Raw genomic sequence first — 20,700 nt, 5'->3', positions numbered from 1 at the left:
ACATCGATTCTCTTCATTACTTGGCTAAGGATGCTTAGAAGTCTTCTTCATCCCACTATATTAGTTTGAAATTGTTTTGGGTATGAAGCTTTAGTTCTGGTTACCTTTGGTAAACAGAATTACAATTTTGATAGTTTCATTAGGTTGGTGCATACATAAGTGCAGTTTTGCCATCCTTTTCATCACTATTTTTATAATTTTAATGTTCTATCTCATAAATCTTGCAATTTAATTTAAATGCGGTAAACTGGCAGGTCACAATGTACATTAAGTAAATGGCAGTTTATCAACAGAGGAGAGTTCTTTATTTCCCATAGCAGAAAACAAGTTCTCCTCCAGTCCAAGAATTTCAAATGTTAATCCCACTGTAGGACATGGAGATACTCACTGGTTGTACCCTGTGTTGTGTCTAGGATCCTTCAAAAATTTTATTTTCCAAAGGACATTCCTCACCTTTGTTAATGTTTCTCCTACAATGAGATTTCGTTTGTTGTGTCTCTTCACGCTGTCGCCTGGGAGCCCATGAGCATCCTGCTGTAAAGAGAACAAATACAGTTAAGATTATTTCCCCACTTTCAAAATTGAAAATTGTAGACCCAGTGAGTGTGAGTGCCCTCTCCATTCCTTAAGTAACTGTATGTAAGAATGCTATTCCTAGAGATCTTCTAAGCCCTCGTCAATAAAATTGGAGGAGGATAGATATTTCTTTCCACATTTTGATGCTTTATGGGGTTTTATAGCCTAAATTATCCACGTTGCTTAAAAATAACACCAGCATATTAAAAACAAGAGGAGCTGCTTGTGGGGATAAAATGGACAGACTCTTTCTAGAGGACAATTGTGTAGTATTCATCAGAAGTCTTACAAATAGTCACTTGGTCCTGCAATTCACAATCTAGGTTATATATTTTTGGAAATAACAGCAACAGGCCGGGCGCAGTGGCTCACACCTGTAATCCCAGCACTTTGGGAGGCCGAGGCAGGCAGATCACAAGGTCAGGAGCTCGAGGCCATCCTGGCCAACATGTTGAAACCCTGTCTATACTAAAAATACAAAAATTAGCTGGACGTGGTGGCGCGTGTCTGTAATCCCAGCTACTCGAGAGGCTGAGGCAGGAGAATCATTTGAACAACGGAGTTGGAGGTTGCAGTGAGCCGAGATCGTGCCACCGCACTCCAGCCTGGAGAAAGAGTTAAGACTCCATCTCAAACAAAAATAGAAAGAAGAAAGAAAGAAAGAACAGGAATAATATATACAGGCCTGTGCAGAAAAGCTACAAATCATGCTAAACAAAAATTTGAAATATCAGAACTATAGCTAGTTAACTACATAACACTCATACTAAAATCCATGTTATAGAGAAAAATATTTTTATGTATGACAAAATGCTCAGAATATAGAATTAACTTGAAAGGCTTTTTTATTATTTTTATTTTTTATTTTTTATTTTTTTTTTTTTTGAGACAGAGTCTCGCTCTGTCACCCCGGCTGGAGTGCAGTGGCGCAATCTCGGCTGACTGCAACCTCCCGGGTTCAAGCAATTCTCATGCCTCAGCCTCCAAGTAGTTGGGATTACAGGCATGCACCACCACACCCAGCTTATTTTTGTATTTTTTGGTAGAGAAGGGGTTTCGCCATGTTGGCTCTGCTGGTCTCAAACTCCCGACCTCAGGTGATCTGCCCACCTTGGTCTCCCAGAGTGCTGGGATTACAACCATGAGCCACAGCATCCAGCCCCCTTATTTTTTTCAACCATTCACAGCGATATTTTAAATTTGGAAATCCATATTTTAAATTTGGAAATGCGTATTTTAAAGCAGCAATGCAGAAGCATTCATGAAAAATGCATAATCTCTGAAAATTATGAAAACATTTCTGCTACCAACACATTTCTAAATACAAAACTGACTACCATATTTGTTACTTCTGTGTAGCGAGAGAAGTTCATTTCTAAAACAGATAAAATTGAGTCTTTAGGTGTGAATGGAATGAATAGCAATCTTCTTTTTAAAACATTTCTTAGTCATTTGTAAGCACTAAACATGCAACAGCTTTAAAGAGGAGAGTCTGCAAAGGAACCAGGGTTGTCTAAGGGCATCCAGGTAAGCCAGAGCTGGGGGTACCTTTGGGTCATCATGTCAAGAGCAGAAGCAACTGCCTTGTGGATCCTGCTGCCATGGTTCTGACATCCACCATGCCCAGGTCCATGGCATCCTACCCTGCCACCACTGTCCTGGGTGGCCAAGGTCTCCAGAATTAATCTCCAGCTGAGACATTATATCAGAACACTATATCATTTGCTGGCTTCTGGAAATGATGGTCTACAATCAAATCTTCAGCATGAGCCTTTTCACTCTTTGGTTTATGAAGAACCAACTTCTTCCACCTTCACGTGGTTTTCGGACATGAAATTCTACCTCCGCCCAGTCCTTATGTTGGACAGCCTTCCACTCACTCAAAGTCATCCCTTTTGGAGCCTCTGCCTTTACCTCCTCAGCTTCATTCTCCTCCTTTTCAATGCCTGCCACCGCATGTTCTTCACCTTCAAGGGTTTCCTTAGTTATATTTGATTGATGCAAGTCACTGCAATGATAAGATAATTGTTTCTGAATGTAAATTTTGGGGACTCTGTTAATCCACCTTTGACAGTTCCCCAGTTGTGACATCTGCCGCCCACATGTCTGTCCTGGTGCTTCAGGCCAGCTGTGTGGCTTGCACTGCTCTTATATCATACTCATGAGTGCCAGGAGAATCAAACCCATCTTCCTGGCCACTCCACGCCCACCGCCCCCTCGACCTCTTCCAAGACCCCCATGGCCTCCACCAGGAAGGCCAGTAATCAGTCTATCAATGAGAGGTCACTAATCAACCTATCAACTGAAGCTTCTCCTTCTTCCTTTTCTTCAAGTGGCTTTTCAAATCTTCGCTCATGAGGTGGTCACCTTTCTGGTCTTCTCTCAATCATTTTTCCATCCCTCTGAAGTTGTTGATCAGGCCTTCTTCTCAGGCATCTTACTCCCTCTCTCTTAAGTGACAGAGCAGCTGTGTCTCTTCTTTCTTGTCAATCATGATAATTCTTGTCAATCATGCAAATGTTAGGGGGCAGTGGGTTCTTGTTGTCTTTTGGGGCTCTTTTTATCTTTTTGAGACAGGGTCTTGCTCTGTCACCCAGGCTGGAGTGCAGTGGCATGGTAATAGCTCACTGCAGCCTCAACCTCCTGGACTCAAGGATCCTTCCACTTCAGCCTCCCAAGTAGCTTGGACCACAAGCATGCACCACCATGCTTGGATAACTTTATTTATTTATTTATTTTTATACTTTAAGTTTTAGGGTACTTTTTAAATTTTTGTAGAGACGGGATCTCGCTTTGCTGCCCAGGCTAGTCTTGAACTCCTAGACTCAAGCAATCCTCCCACATTGACCTCTTAAAGCACCGGGATTATAGGCTTGCACCACCACGGAAAGGCCTTTCTGTGACTTTTTAGGCAGCTGTGTCCCTGATGCCTTGGAGTTGGTCTCAGCTATGGCCTGAGCTGCAGTCTTGGCCCCAGGGCCTCCAACACCGCCCCTCAAACAGCTTCTTTATTCTTATTCTTTCTTACCTTCAGCACCTTGAGGGGGTCCAATTCATGGTCAAATAGCTGGTCCAATTGGTGGGTGACCATGCAGCCAAAGCTTTCCTGTAAGGTCCTAGCCATGACGGGGACTCTGTGGCATGTTCCTCCGGCTATTGTAACAGGCAGCCCTGAAAGACATTTGAAACAGATGATAGAGTATGATCCATTTTTAAGAACTAGGTAGTATGTGAATGTGATCATGAGACTCATATGCATGTGAATATTTCCAACTGCTTTTAGCACTGATTTTTGAAATGCTATTTTAGGTAATCTTCTCCCAAATTATATTTAAATCATATAATTACTTTTTAATGAGAAAAACATTGATAAATGCTCTATTGGGTCTGATTATAGCATTTAGTGACTTTCCTTGTAGAAAGGAGAATCAGGTTGAGCAGCAGAAAAGCAAAAATAGGAATTACAATGGCATATCTTAGATGTGGGAGTCTGCACTTACGTCAGCACGGATAGTTGGCAATGTTCCAAAGCTTGGGGGCCATCTGAACACTAAACTAGAACTTTCCTCCTTTAGTGCCCTGGCAGCTTCTGTGATTGTCCTCTTTTCTTTTTTTCCCCCGTGCTTTTAGGGGCATTCCTTCGTATGGCCCTCCCTTTCTTCTTTTTTTTTTTTTTTTTTTCTTTTTTTCCTTTTTCTTTCTTTTTTGAGACACAATTTTGCTCTTGTCGCCCAGGCTGGAGTGCAATGGCGCGATCTTGGCTCACCGCAATCTCAGCCTCCCAGATTCAAACAATTCTCCTGCGTCTGCCTCCCGAGTAGCTGGGATTACAGGCATGCGCCACCACGCCCGGCTAATTTTGTATTTTTAGTAGAGATGGGGTTTCTCCGTGTTGGTCAGGCTGGTCTCCAACTCCCGACCTCAGGTGATCCCTCCGCCTCGGCCTCCCAAAGTTCTGGGATTACAGACGTGAGCCACCGCTCCCAGGCAGCCCTCCCTTTCAAACTCAACATGCACCCTGATGTAGTTCAGATTATCCACTGGACCGCTTGTCCAGCTAAGGCCAAAGACATGGCTGGCCGTTGCCACAGCTGTAAGCCTTTCCTGCATTAGAAGAGTCCAAAGAGTATAAAAAATCCTATTCGTGAAACTGTGTAAAGTTAGAGAAAGCTTTTGTTCACCTGAGTGGTATTGGATCCCACTTACATGAGGTCACACAGTGCCTTGTCATTACTGTACTACCTCAACGCGAATATCGTAATCTCATGTTCTCTATTCTAGAGCTATGAAGCACAAGAAGTACACCACAGCTTCCTATTAACTGTAGTGAGCAAATTGTGTGGGTGGAAAACAGATGGAGTCAGAAAAATAGCTTACGATTTTTTTTCCATATGTTGATGTTTTCCTTTTTTATTAATAAGTGTTCTTGTCTTGATTCAGCCAGAAAATACAGCTTGTACTAGGACAATAAAAGCCCAATGGCATCCCAATCATATACACATTATGTTCATGGAACTTGGTCCCTAGTGTTTTTAGGATGATGAAAAATCCACATATGTACACATCAACAGCCCATAATGCAGCTCGTGCTACAAAAATACTGCCGACTGGTAGTGTTTCCCATATTTGCATGTCTTCGTAAGATGCAGAAAGAAAAATAAATAAATAAATAGATAAGAAGGTGCCTTCCATGCCACTACATTTGGCCATTCGTGACTGTGTCTTCAGGCTTTTCCTACCATAGGAGGGTCCAGAAAATACGGTAAATAAATAAGCAGAGGGAAATGCCTTCCCATGCCACAACTGCTACTCAGTTTACACACTGCAGCGGAAGACTTAATTTCGCATCTACCATTATTTTAACTGGCAATTGCTTAGACAATTTTCCAGTTCTTATGAAAGAACTCAAATTATTTATGATGCTGACTCCCCACAATAGTTAATTCCTTAAAATGGCCCTATATAAGAATGGAACACAATTTTATTTTGTGAAGGAGAAAAAAAAAAAGAAGAAGGGAGCAGGAAAGACTTATATTAAATTTATAAATAAACTGTAGAATCTTGGGATCTTGGTTCTGCTGTTGCTCCTAAGTACATTTGGGACACAGAAAAATTCAAATGAATAATATTGTTGCCAAAATTCACGTATCTTTCGTTACACTGAAGATGTTAGCAGTAATTCACCTTCACTGATAGACTTGACTTTGTTAAAGTCAAAGAGAAAGGAGTAAAGATTATTCTTGTTCCACGTGGATGAAATTCTTCCGTTTTTTTCTAAGGATGATAAAGAAAACAGGGCTTCTTAGAAACTGAGTCCATCCCCAAAATGATATTGTATACGATGTGAAATCACCATTATGAAATAGTTTGTTGCTTTTGTAGTGGTAGCAATGACAAATTAAAAACGTTAGAAAAGATATTTTCTCATATTCTGCTCTACAGCAATTAGCTGAATTAAGCCATAGTGTTGTTTGGCCTATGCTAGCCACATAAATATGCCTAAAACTGGAATTAACCACACGTTCCTGTCTTGTCCATCCTTATCTTTCCTACTCTATATGAAAATTCATACTCTGGGTTAGTTTTTCTTGTTGCTCTGTTCAGCAAGGGTTTTTACCCCTCACTTCACAAAATGTGGAGAACTTTCAGATTTATGCAATGCTGTATTCTATTTGGTGGTGATTTATTTTTTCTCCTGTTATACTCTGGCTTCCAAAATTTTCAGGCAAAAATCTGCGCACATCCAAAACTGTGGATACCTAACTCATCTTTAAATGAAATTGAAAAAAAAATAGCCTTCACCTTAAACCATTAGTTTTTGTAACAATGGGGACAAGTCGAATGAAGCTATTTATCTACTTCAAGGTAATATTGAAGTTTCACTTAATTCCTTTCCTTGTCTTCATTCTCCTTTGAACCATGCCAGTAACTATTTAAGATCAACAAGACTCCATTCATAAGATCTGAAGGCATTTTGCTTTTACAATGCAAAACCTAATTTTTTTTTTCTTGAGACAAAGTCCCACTCTGTTGCCCATGCTGGAGTGCAATAGCATGGTCTCGCCTCACTGCAACCTCTGTCTCCTGGGTTCAAGGGATTCTTCTGCCTCAGCCTCCTGAATAGCAGGGATTATATGTGTGTGCCACCACTCCTGGGTAATTTTGGTATTTTTAGTAGAAAAGGGGTTTCACTATGTTGGCTAGGCTGGTCTCAAACTCCTGTGATGGGATTACAGGCATGAGCCACCACACTCGGCCTCAAACTCAATATTTTACTACACGATGAGAGAAAGCGGCCTGATCTAAACATGTTTCATGGCTGTTTTTCTTTGATGGCTTTTGCTCAGCTGGTTTTATAGGCAGTAGTTGTGGGTAGTGGGCATATATGTTAAATATGTAATAGCATATTTAAAGGTAATACTAATAGAGTGTTTGCAAAATTAATTATCTAACTCTTCCCACCCCCATACACTTCCTCATTCATTCTTATCTTCCCAAGAGTTTTTGTTTTAGGATCATGGACACAGACAGGAAGAGTCTGTTTCTAAGGGTTTTAACTATCTTTACTCACTATAGTGTATCCTAGAGGTAGCCTATATGGAGACTCAGTTTTTCCATATATTGGTTTTCAGACTTGAAGTACTAGAGAGAATGCCATTGCAATGCATATATAAAATACATATTCCATAGAGCATCCCCAATACATCAGCAAAAGAAGACTGCTGTAACATGATTACACGTAACAATCACAGTTTGCCTGAGTGCCTGCAGTAGCTTTCTTCTTCTCTGTTCTCCCTGACTTCAGCCTCTTCCCGTTCCCAGGTTGTTCCACATGCTTCTGCCAGAACAAACCTCCCGGTGTCCTCGAGAATCCAACTTGAGTCTTAACTATGTCCGAGCATGTCATTTAAACTGGTGGAAAGTTGGGACAAAAAATTTATCTCTAAGTGGGCTTAGGAAGCCTCTTAGGAGAAACTCATATTGAGGGAAACAGAATTGAAAAGTAAAGCTTGATCAAATAGTAAAACCTGAGTTGTCAGAGAGATGATTCTGAGTTCAGCCCAGAGCCTACAGTTGTTCTACTGGACTTAATGCCTTCATCCAGAAGAGAGCTATGGACTTAAAAGCTAGAAGAAATATTTTCCTATAAAAAGCCTGTATACTTGAAGGGCAAGATAACCATCACTTTGGTATCCTACAAACTGTGGATAATACAAAAGGATTAGGGTTGCTAGCCCTCATTTCTCTGCCACTTACAGCAGACTTTGGACCCAAAATATATTTCAGTGTATGGGTGGAAACATCTGTAGGGAATAAAGAATACTCTGCAGGAATTTTTCTGGACAGAAGTGCTGTCAGAGATAAGAAGGAGACACATACTGCCCCGTAGAGATGCACTGACATTCAGTGAGGCACAGTTGCTATTTAAAAAAAAAAAATTGTTATGGCTAATAGTAGGTGTATATATTTACGGGGCACATGAGGTAATTTGATACAGGAATACAATGCATAATAATCACATCAGGGTAAATGGGCTATCTATCACCTTAGGTATTTATCACTTCTTTGTGTTACAAACATTCCAATTATACTTGCTTAGTTATTTTTAAATCTACAATAAATTATTATTGACTGTAATCACCGTGTTGTGCTATCAGATACTAGATCTTCATTCTATCTAACTCTATTTTTGTACCCATTAACTGTCCCCATTCCCCCGACCTCACAACCCTTCCCAGCCTCTGGTAAACGTCATTCTATTCTCTGTCTCCATGAGTTCAGTGGTTTTAATTTTTAGCTCCCACCAATGAGAACATGTGAAGGTTGGCTTTCTTTGCCTGGCTGATTTCACTTAACAGAATATCCTCCGGTTCCATCCATGTTGTTGCAAATGACAGGATCTCATTCTTTTTATGGTTGAATAGTACTCCATTGTGTATATGTACCACATTTTCTTTATCCATTCATCTGTCAATGGACACTTTGGTTGCTTCCACATTTTAGCTATTGTGAATTGTGCTGCAATAAACATGGGAGTAATGCACCTGATCTCATCTGATCTTGCTAGCTCAGCAGGGCCAGGCCTGGTTAGTACTTGGATGGGAGTGAGGCACAGTTTCTAGAAGGAAACTGTACTACCTGCCTGACACCCACCAAGATACCGAGATAGTCTCAGCAAAGCATCCCTGGGGCATTTCCTGTGGAGGTAGCAATACACGAGAAGCACTTCCTGGTGAATGACCACAGTTATTAGTGAGCACATGTGATAAACTCCCCAAGACTCTGAGAAAATACATGAGGAAGCTTCAGATGGAGCTCAAGTATTGGGTGAGTGTATTAGTCCATTCTCACACTGCTATAAATAAATACATAAGGGTAATTTATAAAGAAAATAGGTTTACTTGGCTTACAGTTCTGCAGGCTATACAGGAAGCATGGCTGGGGAGACCTCAGGAAACTTACAGTCATGTCGGAAGGTCAAGGGGAAGCAGGCCCGTCTTCACTTGCCCAGAGCAGGAGGAAGAGAGAGGGGAAGTGCTACGCACTTTTAAAAACCAGATCTTGTGAGACCTCTGCCATGAGAACAGCACTAAGGGGATGGTGATAAACCATTAGAAACTGCCGCCACTAGCCAATCACCTCCCACCAGGCCCCACCTCCAACACTGGGGATTACAGTTTGACAAGAGATTTAGGTGGGGTCACAGATCCAAACCATCTCACTGAGTGTAAAGAAAAGGAGATAGAAAAATTTGCATTTAAAAAAAATTATAAAATATTTAATCTTATGGAAGAGCATACCCAATACCCACATAAAAGAGATGTTAAATTTTGGCATATTTGCTTTGCGTTCCAATTTTACTTTTTAATGTTTATTTTTAAGTAAATAAAACACTAGAGCTATATCTCTTTTCCCTTCTACTTCCCTGTAGGTAATTACCATCGGGGAGTTGATACATGTGAATCCATAAAGAATATTTAACTATTTTGTTTAAAAAATTTGATAATAGTTTACTACACACACTTTTATAACTGTTTTTGTATTCACTTTAAAAAACATATTTAACCTATTTCTTCCACTTAAATCGTTATACAGTATACCATCATTAGAATTCGAGACACTTAAATGTGTGCTATTACTGTTGATTTGAGCAAACTTACTCATGCAGATCTATGGTGCACTTACCATGTTCAAAATGTTCCCCAAACTTCTACTGTTGCGTATGTGTAGAGGCCAAACTTTCAGCCTGGCATTTGGATTTGCTCGTAATGCCACCTGCAAGTTTTTATCCATTGTTTCTCTCTTCGCTTATGAATAGTAGACCAGGCCAATGCCACTCAAATGGCCATTCCATGAACTTTTCTTCTGCTGTTTTTTTCTATTTGTATTTTATTTTATTTTGAGACAGAGTCTTGCTCTGTCACCCAGGCTGGAGTACAGTGGCACAAGCATAACCCACTGTAGCCTTGAACTTCCAGGCTCAAGAAATCCCCCTGCCTCAGCCTTCCAAGTAGCTGGGACTACAGACTTGCATCACTGTGCCTGGTTAATTTTTTTTTTTTCTTTTTTTGAGATGGAGTCTTGCTCTGTCACCCAGGCTGGAGTGCAATGGCACAATCTCGGCTCACTGCAACCTCTGCCTCCCTGGTTCAAGCAATTCTCTGCCTCAGCCTCCCGAGTAGCTGGGATTACAGGTGCCCGCCACCATGCCTGGCTAATTTTTGAATTTTTAGTAGAGATGGGGTTTCACCATCTAGGCTAGGCTGGTCTTGAACTCCTGACCTCGTGTTCCATCCACCTCAGCCTCCCAAAGTGTTGGGATTACAGGCGTGAGCCACCGCACCTGGGCGGCTAATTTTTTTAATAGAGACAAGGTCTTGCTATGCTGCAAGGCTGTGTTTTTTTCTAAAATCCTTCCTTCTGTTTGGGATACCTATTTCTACTCCCCACCCCAAACCAACACCACTATCCATTTGTTGAATCACAATTAAATATTTGAAGCCCAGATTTTCACATTTTTTTCCCAGTCCCCGGTTGGATTTTATCTTTCTTTCCTCTGTATTTTCATATTTTATCTTTATTAGAAATTTGTTATGCCTGGCCTTATACTTCGGTTATGACACCTGTGAGCCTTCCCAGATTCTAATCTCTGGATCATCCTTAGATCCTTTTACAAAATAAGCATTAAACAAATACTTAATTAAATTGAAAGGGGGCTGTAACCCCAATCTGAAGGTAGCCTTTGTGTTCCTTAAAACTCAGAAGCTGATGATTGAATTAGTTATGACATCCGCCATCCTCTCTAAAATAAAGTTGTACAAGAATGCCAAGGAAGCCAGCTGAAAAGTGTTTCAGTCAAAAACATCACAGGATATTGTTGATGGTAAGAGACAACAAGCAGGAGAGAACCCATTTTCTATTCCTGAATTAGACTGGTATACACTGGTGTGTGTGTGTGTGTGTGTGTATGTGTGTGTGTGTGTATGCATGCACGCACGTTACGACATTCCTTGCTTGGTCAAACACTTCAGTGCGATTATGAGTAATTCACATGGTAACATATGATTTTGCCCTAGATAGAGCTGCTCGAGTCAGAGTCAAACCTTTTTGGAGGAGGGGAAATCTTGGATTGAGAGCGTGACTGATACAGGCACCCATCCTTGTCTCTGCTCCAGATTACAGGAATCTCTGGTAAGAGCCAAAGCTTGTTATACCATTAGAAAGAAAATCACTCGACTCCCCCAGTCTTTTGCGTCCAATTTATGTCCAATTTGCAGACTTTCAACATTGCAACCTCACAGTTCATAAAATCAAACTCAGCCTGGGCTAAGTCTCCAGGTAATGGATTTAGGATCACGGGAGGTGTTACCTGCAGTTCATGATGGGTAACTTTCTTGTTAACTAAAGTCCCTTTAGCTAAATGAGTTCCAGGTTTTAGTCTCCCCTCTCTCTTTTTTTTGGCAGGGATTTTTGGGATGGGGGTGGGGCAGGCGTAGAATTTTATTAGGCCGCGCGTGGAGAGCTTTTCATTGAAAAGGCAACAGGAAAAAAAATTGGGATAAGCCAGTCTTTGTATAAACGGAAGGTGGTGAAAGGAAGGCTGTGTGTAGGGGCTAGGGGATCAACCCTCCGGCTCCACTTGGCTACATAGGGACTCCGGGAGACAGCCTGGTGCTCAGAGCGGAGCCTGGGTATTTCCGCAGGTAACTGCAGCTCTGCAGGGAGGGCCCAGGGAGAGAGAAACCGCAGATGCAAGGGGGCTGGGAGGACTTGGTGGGGATACTAGCATCTCTTGTCCACTTCTCTCTGTCCCTGTTCTTAGCAACAAATTCTCTTTCCTCCGCTTGCCTTCGGGGAGTTCTAATCATTAGCCAATTGTTGAAAGCAGGTCAATTTAATATTCCAGGTGGGTGTCTAAGCATGTGTCTGAATATACATCGCACGCATAAACATATGTATGTGCACACACTAACGATTTAAGGATCTGTTCCAGAAGCCTAAAGGGAAATATCCCTTCCAAGATTAATGGTTCTTCAACTGTCAGTTTCAGTAGTTGGGTTAATTTGATGTCTATGTTTTTAAAACACTCATTTATGGAGTCACTCCATTTAAAAGGCTAATGAAATGCTATTTAATTTTGGCCTTCTGTCATCCCTTAAGCCAAGATCAGCTACTTCTATATTTTGCTTATTTTAAAAATCATTTTCCTTATAAAAATCACATTGCTGCTTGAATTTCATCTCTTTCCCATACGTACACATCTCTTAAACTGGTCACATAGCTTCCTGTTCTATATACCTGGTATTTTCCCCCTGCGGCCTTCCTGGTTTTTTATTTATTTATTTTATTTTTTATTTATTTTATTCTGGATATCTTTTCTGATCTCTTATTATATTATCCTTTTAGATAGAGCTCAGACCACTACGTTGGAGAAAGAATTAGTATTTTACTTAATTTAGTGGACAGATAATTTATTTATGCTTACACAACTATAGTTCCTAGTCTTGGAATTCTCAGAAAAAGAGTTAAGTGGTTAGTTCCACCATTGGCCTTTGGTTGTATATACAGAAACTGCTCCATTGTTACCCACAGTTGTTTGTAAATCATAGATTTTCCTATCATAGAGGGATTGTAGTCATGTAGGGCAGAGTTGATATTCATTGTTTATTTCAAGACTAACAAATGATGGCCTATTATGGCATTATGGTTTTATGGTATTGTTTTCTGTGCTAGAATTATATATATATACACATACACATTCCACACGTAAACATATGTATGTATACTCACTAATGATTTAAGGATCATTAGTCTGTGCACATACATATGTTTAAGGATCTGATATACATACATATATATATATACACACCTCACAATCATTTTTTTATGGGGAGAGGTTCTTATGATACTATTCTTGTCTCATGTCTCTCGTCAAAGTTTAATGCAAAAAAAAAAACCAACTCTTTTTCTATTAATATTTCAAAATTTCTGCGTAAGTTCATTTAACTTTCTCAATGTTGTAGAAACATTTATCACACAAGTTTGAGAAAGGGCTTTGAGATAACACCCTAGAACATCTTGGAAATATGTGTAACAAAGATTCTGGCACCACCATTAATCAACATGAATTGAGTCACCTGGGAAAATCATTCAACAAACCAACCATAGAATGACCTTGATGACTGGTTGGAATCTTCTCATGCTGGTGTTGTTTCTCTCTTTTGTGTGGGTGCATGCAAGGGCAGGTCTTCTCTTGATCTACATTTGGTAGCTGTTCTTTGCTCTCCCTGGCTCGCGGCAGGTTCCGCGGGGACGAAGATAGACCTATTAGCTCAATGCCTTGGGTCTGGAAAATAAGCAAGTTTTGTTTCAAAAAGTTACCACCATGGAAGGCCTCAATTTCAATGCCCCAATCTGTGAATGTGATGAAAAGAGAAGCTGAAGAACTTATTGGAAAATTTAAGTCGCCTCTTAGCTATGTGCCCTTTGAAAATTAAACTGCTCACTCAGAACTTGGACTCCAGACTCCTGTTTTTTGGTTTGTGTCAGGCATCTGGAGGGAAGCTTTGAGCCAAATGTGGTGTCCTGGGTGGGAAAGGTGGTTAACCTGAACCCCAAACACCTTTCCCTGCCACATGCTCCTGGGTGTCTTAGAGTTTGCCTTTTAAAACCGAGCGTCAGAGAATGTCTACAAGATGAGGTTAGGACAATTATATGGTGGCAGTAGTATCCTATTTTTAAAAAAAGATGGAGAGCCTCTAGGTGTTCAGGGTTTGGCAAACAAACTTAACAAAATATTTTAGATTTGGAAATGTGGAGGACACTCTGTCCCAAGGGTACTTGACTTTTATTTCTGTTAACAAATTTTAACATGAACTTAAAAATTATTGCTTTTAATTCACCAAAACTATATTTGTTCAGAAATGTATTAGAAAAATAAATATTAGAAAAGAGGAAGCAAGATTCTCGGTAGTTAGAGTTAACATGATTACCTTTTAAAAAAAAAAAAGCAGGAGAATCAAGGAGACATAACTAGAAGTAACAAGCATAAGTAGTCGATGGCTGGCTATAACAACAATATAGACACATCAATTGTTTTCCTAAAAATCAAGGTTAACCCTGAATTGAATTTGGGATTAGTCATTCACCAGCTGAAGAAATATTCTCAGCCTTTTGGTGTCTACTTCTTCATCTGTAAATTGAAGTTAATAATATTTCCCATGTCAAACAATTGTGAAAACAATTGAAATCGCAAACATAAAGCATTCAGCAATGTACTTCCCATGGAAGTGCCTACTAAACATAAACTATTAGTTTTAAGTAGTTAGAAAATAAAATTAAAATTATCCTATTCAAAACTGCCAATCAAATATTTTTAGAAAAAGCTTTAAAAGATTTACGGCAAAAAAAAAAAAAAAGGTGGCACTGATTTTAAAAAAACATTATTTTTTACTATAGGATATGAGGTTTACTTCTACTAATGAAATGATATGCTATGTTTCTAGATTATGAGACTCAATATTGTAATGACATCCGTGTAGACATGTATATACCAGCCATTGATTGAGTGCTTAGTGTCTACTATGTGTCAGCCACTGTATGATGATTTTATATGTGTTCGTGTGTGTATATGTGTGTGTATATCTCACTTACTATGCATATTAACTTGAAGGAATTATTTTGCTTATTTCATAAAAGAGGATATTAGGGCTTAAAGAAGAAAAAAAAACATGACTCCTTACAGCTGGTAATTGGAGAAGTGTGAAATTGGATAAAAGTTTATAATTAATTTCTAATCTGAAAAATTAATAGAACTTTGAAATTGCCAAAGTGGTTCAAAGTTAACTGGGAAAATACATTTATGAAAGCAGCCTAGGGTTGTTTGAAAACAATAACATAAGTAAAGTGGTCTTACCAGATACTAAAATATGTAATAAAACCATGAAAGGGTATATAACTGGTATAGAATAGAAGAAATAAATAGAAATGAGAATAAATGATGATTTATTCCTTAGCTAGGGTTTACTCTAAAATCAGAGGCTGAGATAAAGGCTTGAATCCAGATAGCTTCTGGCATGTAGGGAATTATTCCAAAGAATAAGAGCAGGGAACTTGGAAGACCGGAACAAGAAAAGAGGAAAATGCAGTCTTAAGATCTCTTACTTAACTGGTAACTCAATGGACAACTGGGGCTTGGTCTCACTAATGACACTCTAAGGAGCCATGTAGCATACATCTTCTCCATTGGGGAACAGAAGAGTGGTGTATTTATTTATCCAAAGTCTCCTGTACAACATTGGTCTGGGATTGCCTTTGATCAAGGGTATTAATTCACTTGCGTGTCTAGATTTGTGCATGTGTCACAGTGGCTGAGTGGTTTCACCAATAATCCTACAATTGTGGCAGAAAAAGAGCTGGGGCTGAAAGGGAGAGATTTCTGTTTTCAGCCAAGTTGCCATTCCTATTACAGTCAGCTGCCTTTTCAGCTCGGAAGATGAGCTGAAAAGATGTTATGTGGCAAAAGTGGTATTTGATAAAGTTATATGGTTTGTAGTAGAAGTAGTATTTCAAATTCTTAAAAACATTGTGTTTTATTTGAATATAAAATTAGAAATTTGGTTAGAATAGGAATAAAAAATAACTGAAGTCACATAAAGTTAACTTGCACGTTAAATAATTTAAATGGTAGAAAGTAAAAATACAAAAGGATTAGAAGAAAATACTGGTGTATAGTTTTTTTGTTTGCTCATCTGATTGTTTTAGTTTTAGTTTTTAAATAATCTTAGGAACAGAACAGACTATCTAGCCATAATATTTATGATCAAAAACCATGTGTGAAAATATTATAACTCATTAAAAATGTATTTAAATAGTTAATCCAAAACAATTTTTACTCTTCAAAAGTTGCTTTCTTTTTCCAACTAAATAGTCTCATTAAGTTAAATAAACATATCTAAATTTTGACTATTTTGTTGCCAAGTGCTCACATAAACTCTCTGTACCAATATACTATATGTAATATTGTGTGTACAAGTAGTTAGTATCTAAGGAGCATATGATCCAAGAGCAATCTAGACTACTCTTAAATATATATCTTAAATCTAGAAGAACTTTTTAAAAAAATCGAAGTCAAGTTTATATTCACAATGTATTAGATTTGTAAACCTGTAAGTAAAATATTGGCCGGGCATGGTGGCTCACGCCTGTAATCCCAGCACTTTGGGAGGCCAAGGCAGGTGGATCACGAGGTCAGGAGATCGAGACCATCCTGGCTAACACGGTGAAACCCCGTCTCTACTAAAAATACCAAAAAAATTAGCTGGGCATGGTCGTGGGCACCTGTAGTCCTAGCTACTCAGGAGGCTGAGGCAGGAGAATGGTGTGAACCCAGGAGGTGGAGCTTGCAGTGAGCTGAGATCGCGCCACTGCACTCCAACCTGGGCGACTGAGCAAGAATCTGTCTCAAAAAAAAAAAAAAAAAAATTGTTGCATTTTAAACGTTCACCACCTCAGTTTCACCATTATTTGTATTTTTTAAAAATATAGTCATTTGAGACATTTATTTTTCTGACAAAGATGGCGAAACTGTGATTTAGTTGTAAGGCCTACGTATGCAAAAATAAATTTTAAAGGTGGAAAGCTCAGGCAATGAATCAATTATCACCATCACCTCTAATTCCCATATCTAATTATATGCCACCCAGAGCCTTTTGGTCAAAGTTATAAACATATTTGATTAGTTAACCATTTAGCTTTTCTCATTTGACGCAATTTATGTTTAGAAGATTGCTTGATTAATATAGGTGTAGCATAGATAAACTGGTGATTAAGCGCTTTGTAATTGAACTGTTTTTAAAGTATTCTCCACTGAGCAATGAATTTGAAATTTTCTAATTCAGATTCAAATATTTTTCTTAAACCTCTTGTCCTCCACTACAATCTCATTTTTACTATCAATATATATTAGAAAAATAAATTCTAGCTTTAAGTCTTCTCAAAGACACTTTAAGTTGCAGGCCAAGATCCAAACAAAAGCAATTTTATACTGTGTAATTTGGCAGAAGAATGCATATAAAGGAGAAATGGACCTAGCGATGGGCCAAACACTGGGAAATTCCCCAAATAGCATATGTATGGCAGCTTTTTAAAAATTTTCCTAATGTCTTTCTTCATTCAGCTATGTTTTGTAGCCATGCTTTTCTGAAATGAATTTTATACTAAATGAGACTGAAGGCCTTTACTTGTGCTCTGTCTCTGTCTTGCTTTTAATCAACTTGGAGGATCGTCAAATACATGTGAAGAGTAACCTATCCCAAAACAACTGAAAAATTAGGTGAGAAGAAAAATTGGCCACAAATTGGTTATCTAGGGCAGCATAAATCCAAAGAAACTTACTTTTTGAATTTTCCAGGTTTCAGACAAAAAGAAAACATGATTTTGGACACAATTTATGATGCTTTTCTTCATGCACCATGAAGGGGGATCTCCTTAGGAAATCATCAACAGCTAGAATTTGTTCTGGCTTGTTTTTCTTTTTCCTTCCAGCTTGTTATGTTCTTTATAATTATTATTATTATTTTTTGCTTACTACTATGCAAAGACTTGAATGTGCAATGCTGTCATACTTTCCACTGAGCTTCAAAGAAACAAAGCAGAATGAAGCTTGTTGTAAACTTTTATTTCCATCTTCTGCTTTATGTAACCTTATTTTAGTAGCTCCAGTAAAATGTAACCACATTAACCAACACTTAATTTGGGCTAAATGATGAAAGAAAGCCAATAATAGCTTAGAAACAAATTCTGAAAAGACATGTCTGCCTCTATATCAGATGTTGTCAGGTCCCAAATTATTGAAATTATAACACTTGCTGTATAATATGTAAACACACTATGGTGGTGGTATAAATTCAATGCTCCTTAAATATAATGGGCATATGTGTTTTATTTGTATTAATGTTTATTTATCAACCAACAACTACATTGTTGGCAAGTCACTTCAGAATACCCTATATTTGTTTAGTGCTTTACAACATATAAAATGATTTTATAGCAGTTGTTTTTTCTGATTCTAATAATTGTCCATGATATGTCATGTTCAAAGCCTGGTAGTGTTAGAGCTATAAACTGATCTTAGCTCCTGTGATTCCTGATCCATAGCATTTCTGGACTATTCAGGTACCAGATATGTTTATGCTACAAGTAATATACATCGTTGCACTTTACCTATTTAATTGCATGTAGTCAATAACTATTTATTTAAAATAAGAGCCTGGAATTTTAGCAAATTAATGAAAAAACTAGCATGTGCCAAGGACCTACTATATACCAGGATGTGTTATTTCCATTCCCATTATGTATTGCTGTGTGACAAACCTTCTACAAACTTAGTGATTTAAAATGATAACTATTCTATTTATGTACTCATGATTTTGCTATTTGGTCACTATTTTGCAAACATAACTTGTTTGCTTCAATGAGATCACCTGGAATGGCTTAAGGATATGCTTTAAAGATGGCTTCAACTTTCAACAGCAGGTTGATAATGACTGTTCCCTGGGACTCAGCTGTGTCTGTGACCCAGTAGCTTTGGTTCATACTTATGTCTGGCTTGCTTGGTTCTTCTCCCTTAAATCTCTCTGTGTGGCTAGCTTGGGTTTCCTTACAGGATTGGGTTATCAGGAAAGTTGACTTCCAAAAAGCCAGAAGAGAAGCTTCTTAAGGCTTAGGCTCCAAACTGGCACAGGGTCACTGCTGCTGCCTTCCCTTGGCTAATATGATTCAAAGAGATCTCCAAATTCAAGGGGAAAGGGCAATACCAGAGTGTGGATAACAGGAGTTGTGTTTTCCTTGCGAATATCAATGTATCATATAGAAACTTATACACAAATGTTCATAGCGGATTTATTTATTACACCCCCAAACTGGAAACTATCCAGATGTCCTTCAATGGATGGATTATTATTACTATTGAATATTACTCAACAATGAAAGGAAATGAGTGCAACACTTTGGATTAACCTTAAGGAAATGAGAACGGTGAAAAAAAGCCAATCTCGAAAGGATACATACTGCATCATTCCATTTATATAACATTGTGAAATAACATTTTGTAAATATGAAGAACAAATCAGTTGTTTCCTGGGGCCAGAGGATTAAGAATGGAGATAAGTAGGCATGTCTATATAGGGGTAATGGGAAGAAAGCTTGTGATGCTGGCATAGTGGAATATCTTGATTGTGGTAGTGGTTATAGAAGCTACATGCATGATAAAATTGCAAGGAGCTACACATACACACAAGTGCCTGTATAACTAATAAAACAAGAATAAGTTCTGTGGATTGTACCACTGTCAATTTCCTAGTTGTTAAATTGTATTCTAGTTAGGCAAGGTGTAGACTTTGGGGGAGGCTGGGTGAAGGGTGCATAAAACCTCCTTGTGCATTTCTATGACTTCATGTAAATCTCAGTTTTTAAATTAAAAGCAAATTGGAAGAAGAAAAGAAGAAGGAGAAGGAGGAGAAGGAGAAGAAGGTGGAGGAGGAGAAGGAAGGAGAAAAAGAAGAGAAGGAGGAGAAGGAGAAGGAAAATAAGGAGAAGAAGGAGAAGGAGAGAAAGAAGAGAAGGAAAAGGAAGAAGAGGAATAGGAGGATGAGAAGGAAGAAGACAAGAAAAGAGGAAGAAAGAATAAGAAGAAAAGAAAAAAATAAAGAAGAGGAGAAGAAGAGAAGATGGAGAGGGAAGATGGAAGAAGGAAGGGAGGAAGAAGAATATCCTTGGGGTTAAAAAGAGGAAGGGGATGTGCAGCCAAAGGGCCTTGGCTCAACTCCGGGTACATTTTGTAAAGTGTACTTAGACTTTTTGTTTTAATTCAGGTATGGAGAGGCCAACAGGTCAGGAGACAGTTGCCATTAAAAATATACTTTGTTTCTCATAGTTCTCACAAGAAGGGACACTCCATACCATGTGCAGCTATATGGCGAAGCCCCAGGGTCAGTCAGGAGGCAGAAGGAGTAGGGGGAAAGCATGGGCCCGAGCCTTTATTGTGATTTCCACAGAAAGGAAGGCTGAGGCAGGCGAAGCAGTTGAGCAGGCTTAGGATTGGAGAGTTTGAATAATTTTGGCAGGCCATGGGCTATGGGAGTGGTCACTAGTTGTCCAGCACCTGCCTCTGGGGTAATTTATGTCAGAGGGAATGTTGACTTAGTGTGTGAAAGTTTGATAAAGGAGGTGGTTAAATTATAGACTCTGGATTGGTTTGTTTGCATATCAAAGGTGTGCACACAAGCAAGTTGTTTGCTATCTCTAGTTACTAGCTAAGCTAGCCCTCTAAGGTGCAGTCCCTCCCTGGGTCTGCAAGGCTCCAGCATGTCAAAGCAAAGTATTGAAAAAAAAAAAATTATTCATACAGCATGCTACTTCCTAGTGGTCGTACCTCCAGACTGTTTTTGACTCTTAAGGCCTCAGTTTATCCCTCTTTATAATTTGCATAGTAATTGCACCTATCTCATAAAGTTGTCAAAAGGACTAAATAGGAAATAAGCCACATAAAGCATTTACAACAGTGCCCAGGATCCATTAAGCATTCAAATATGCTAACATTGTACAATCTTGGATTCTTAATAA

The 20,700-nt window shown here is 38.8% G+C and overlaps 1 pseudogene, besides 3 other annotated features; it reads right to left on the bottom strand.

The window, feature by feature from the left end:
- Positions 1,927-4,002: an enhancer, noted in NCBI's record as "cre1". NCBI's record gives the evidence for it as "EXISTENCE:reporter gene assay evidence [ECO:0000049][PMID:17409199]".
- LOC100131241 (SERPINE1 mRNA binding protein 1 pseudogene) lies at positions 2,107-3,137 on the bottom strand (annotated as a pseudogene).
- Positions 2,230-2,258: a protein binding site, noted in NCBI's record as "GLI1 site". NCBI's record gives its function as "mediates Shh stimulation of enhancer activity" and the evidence as "EXISTENCE:protein binding evidence [ECO:0000024][PMID:17409199]".
- Positions 11,069-12,368: an enhancer, noted in NCBI's record as "VISTA enhancer hs1467". NCBI's record gives its function as "enhancer in: limb[5/9]" and the evidence as "EXISTENCE:transgenic organism evidence [ECO:0001131][PMID:17130149]".

This window comes from Homo sapiens, chromosome 17 (assembly GCF_000001405.40).
Source record: "Homo sapiens chromosome 17, GRCh38.p14 Primary Assembly".
Classification (NCBI taxonomy): domain Eukaryota; kingdom Metazoa; phylum Chordata; class Mammalia; order Primates; family Hominidae; genus Homo; species Homo sapiens.
Note: the sequence above shows the minus strand (reverse complement) of the source record. Positions and strands in the feature narration are given on the sequence as shown.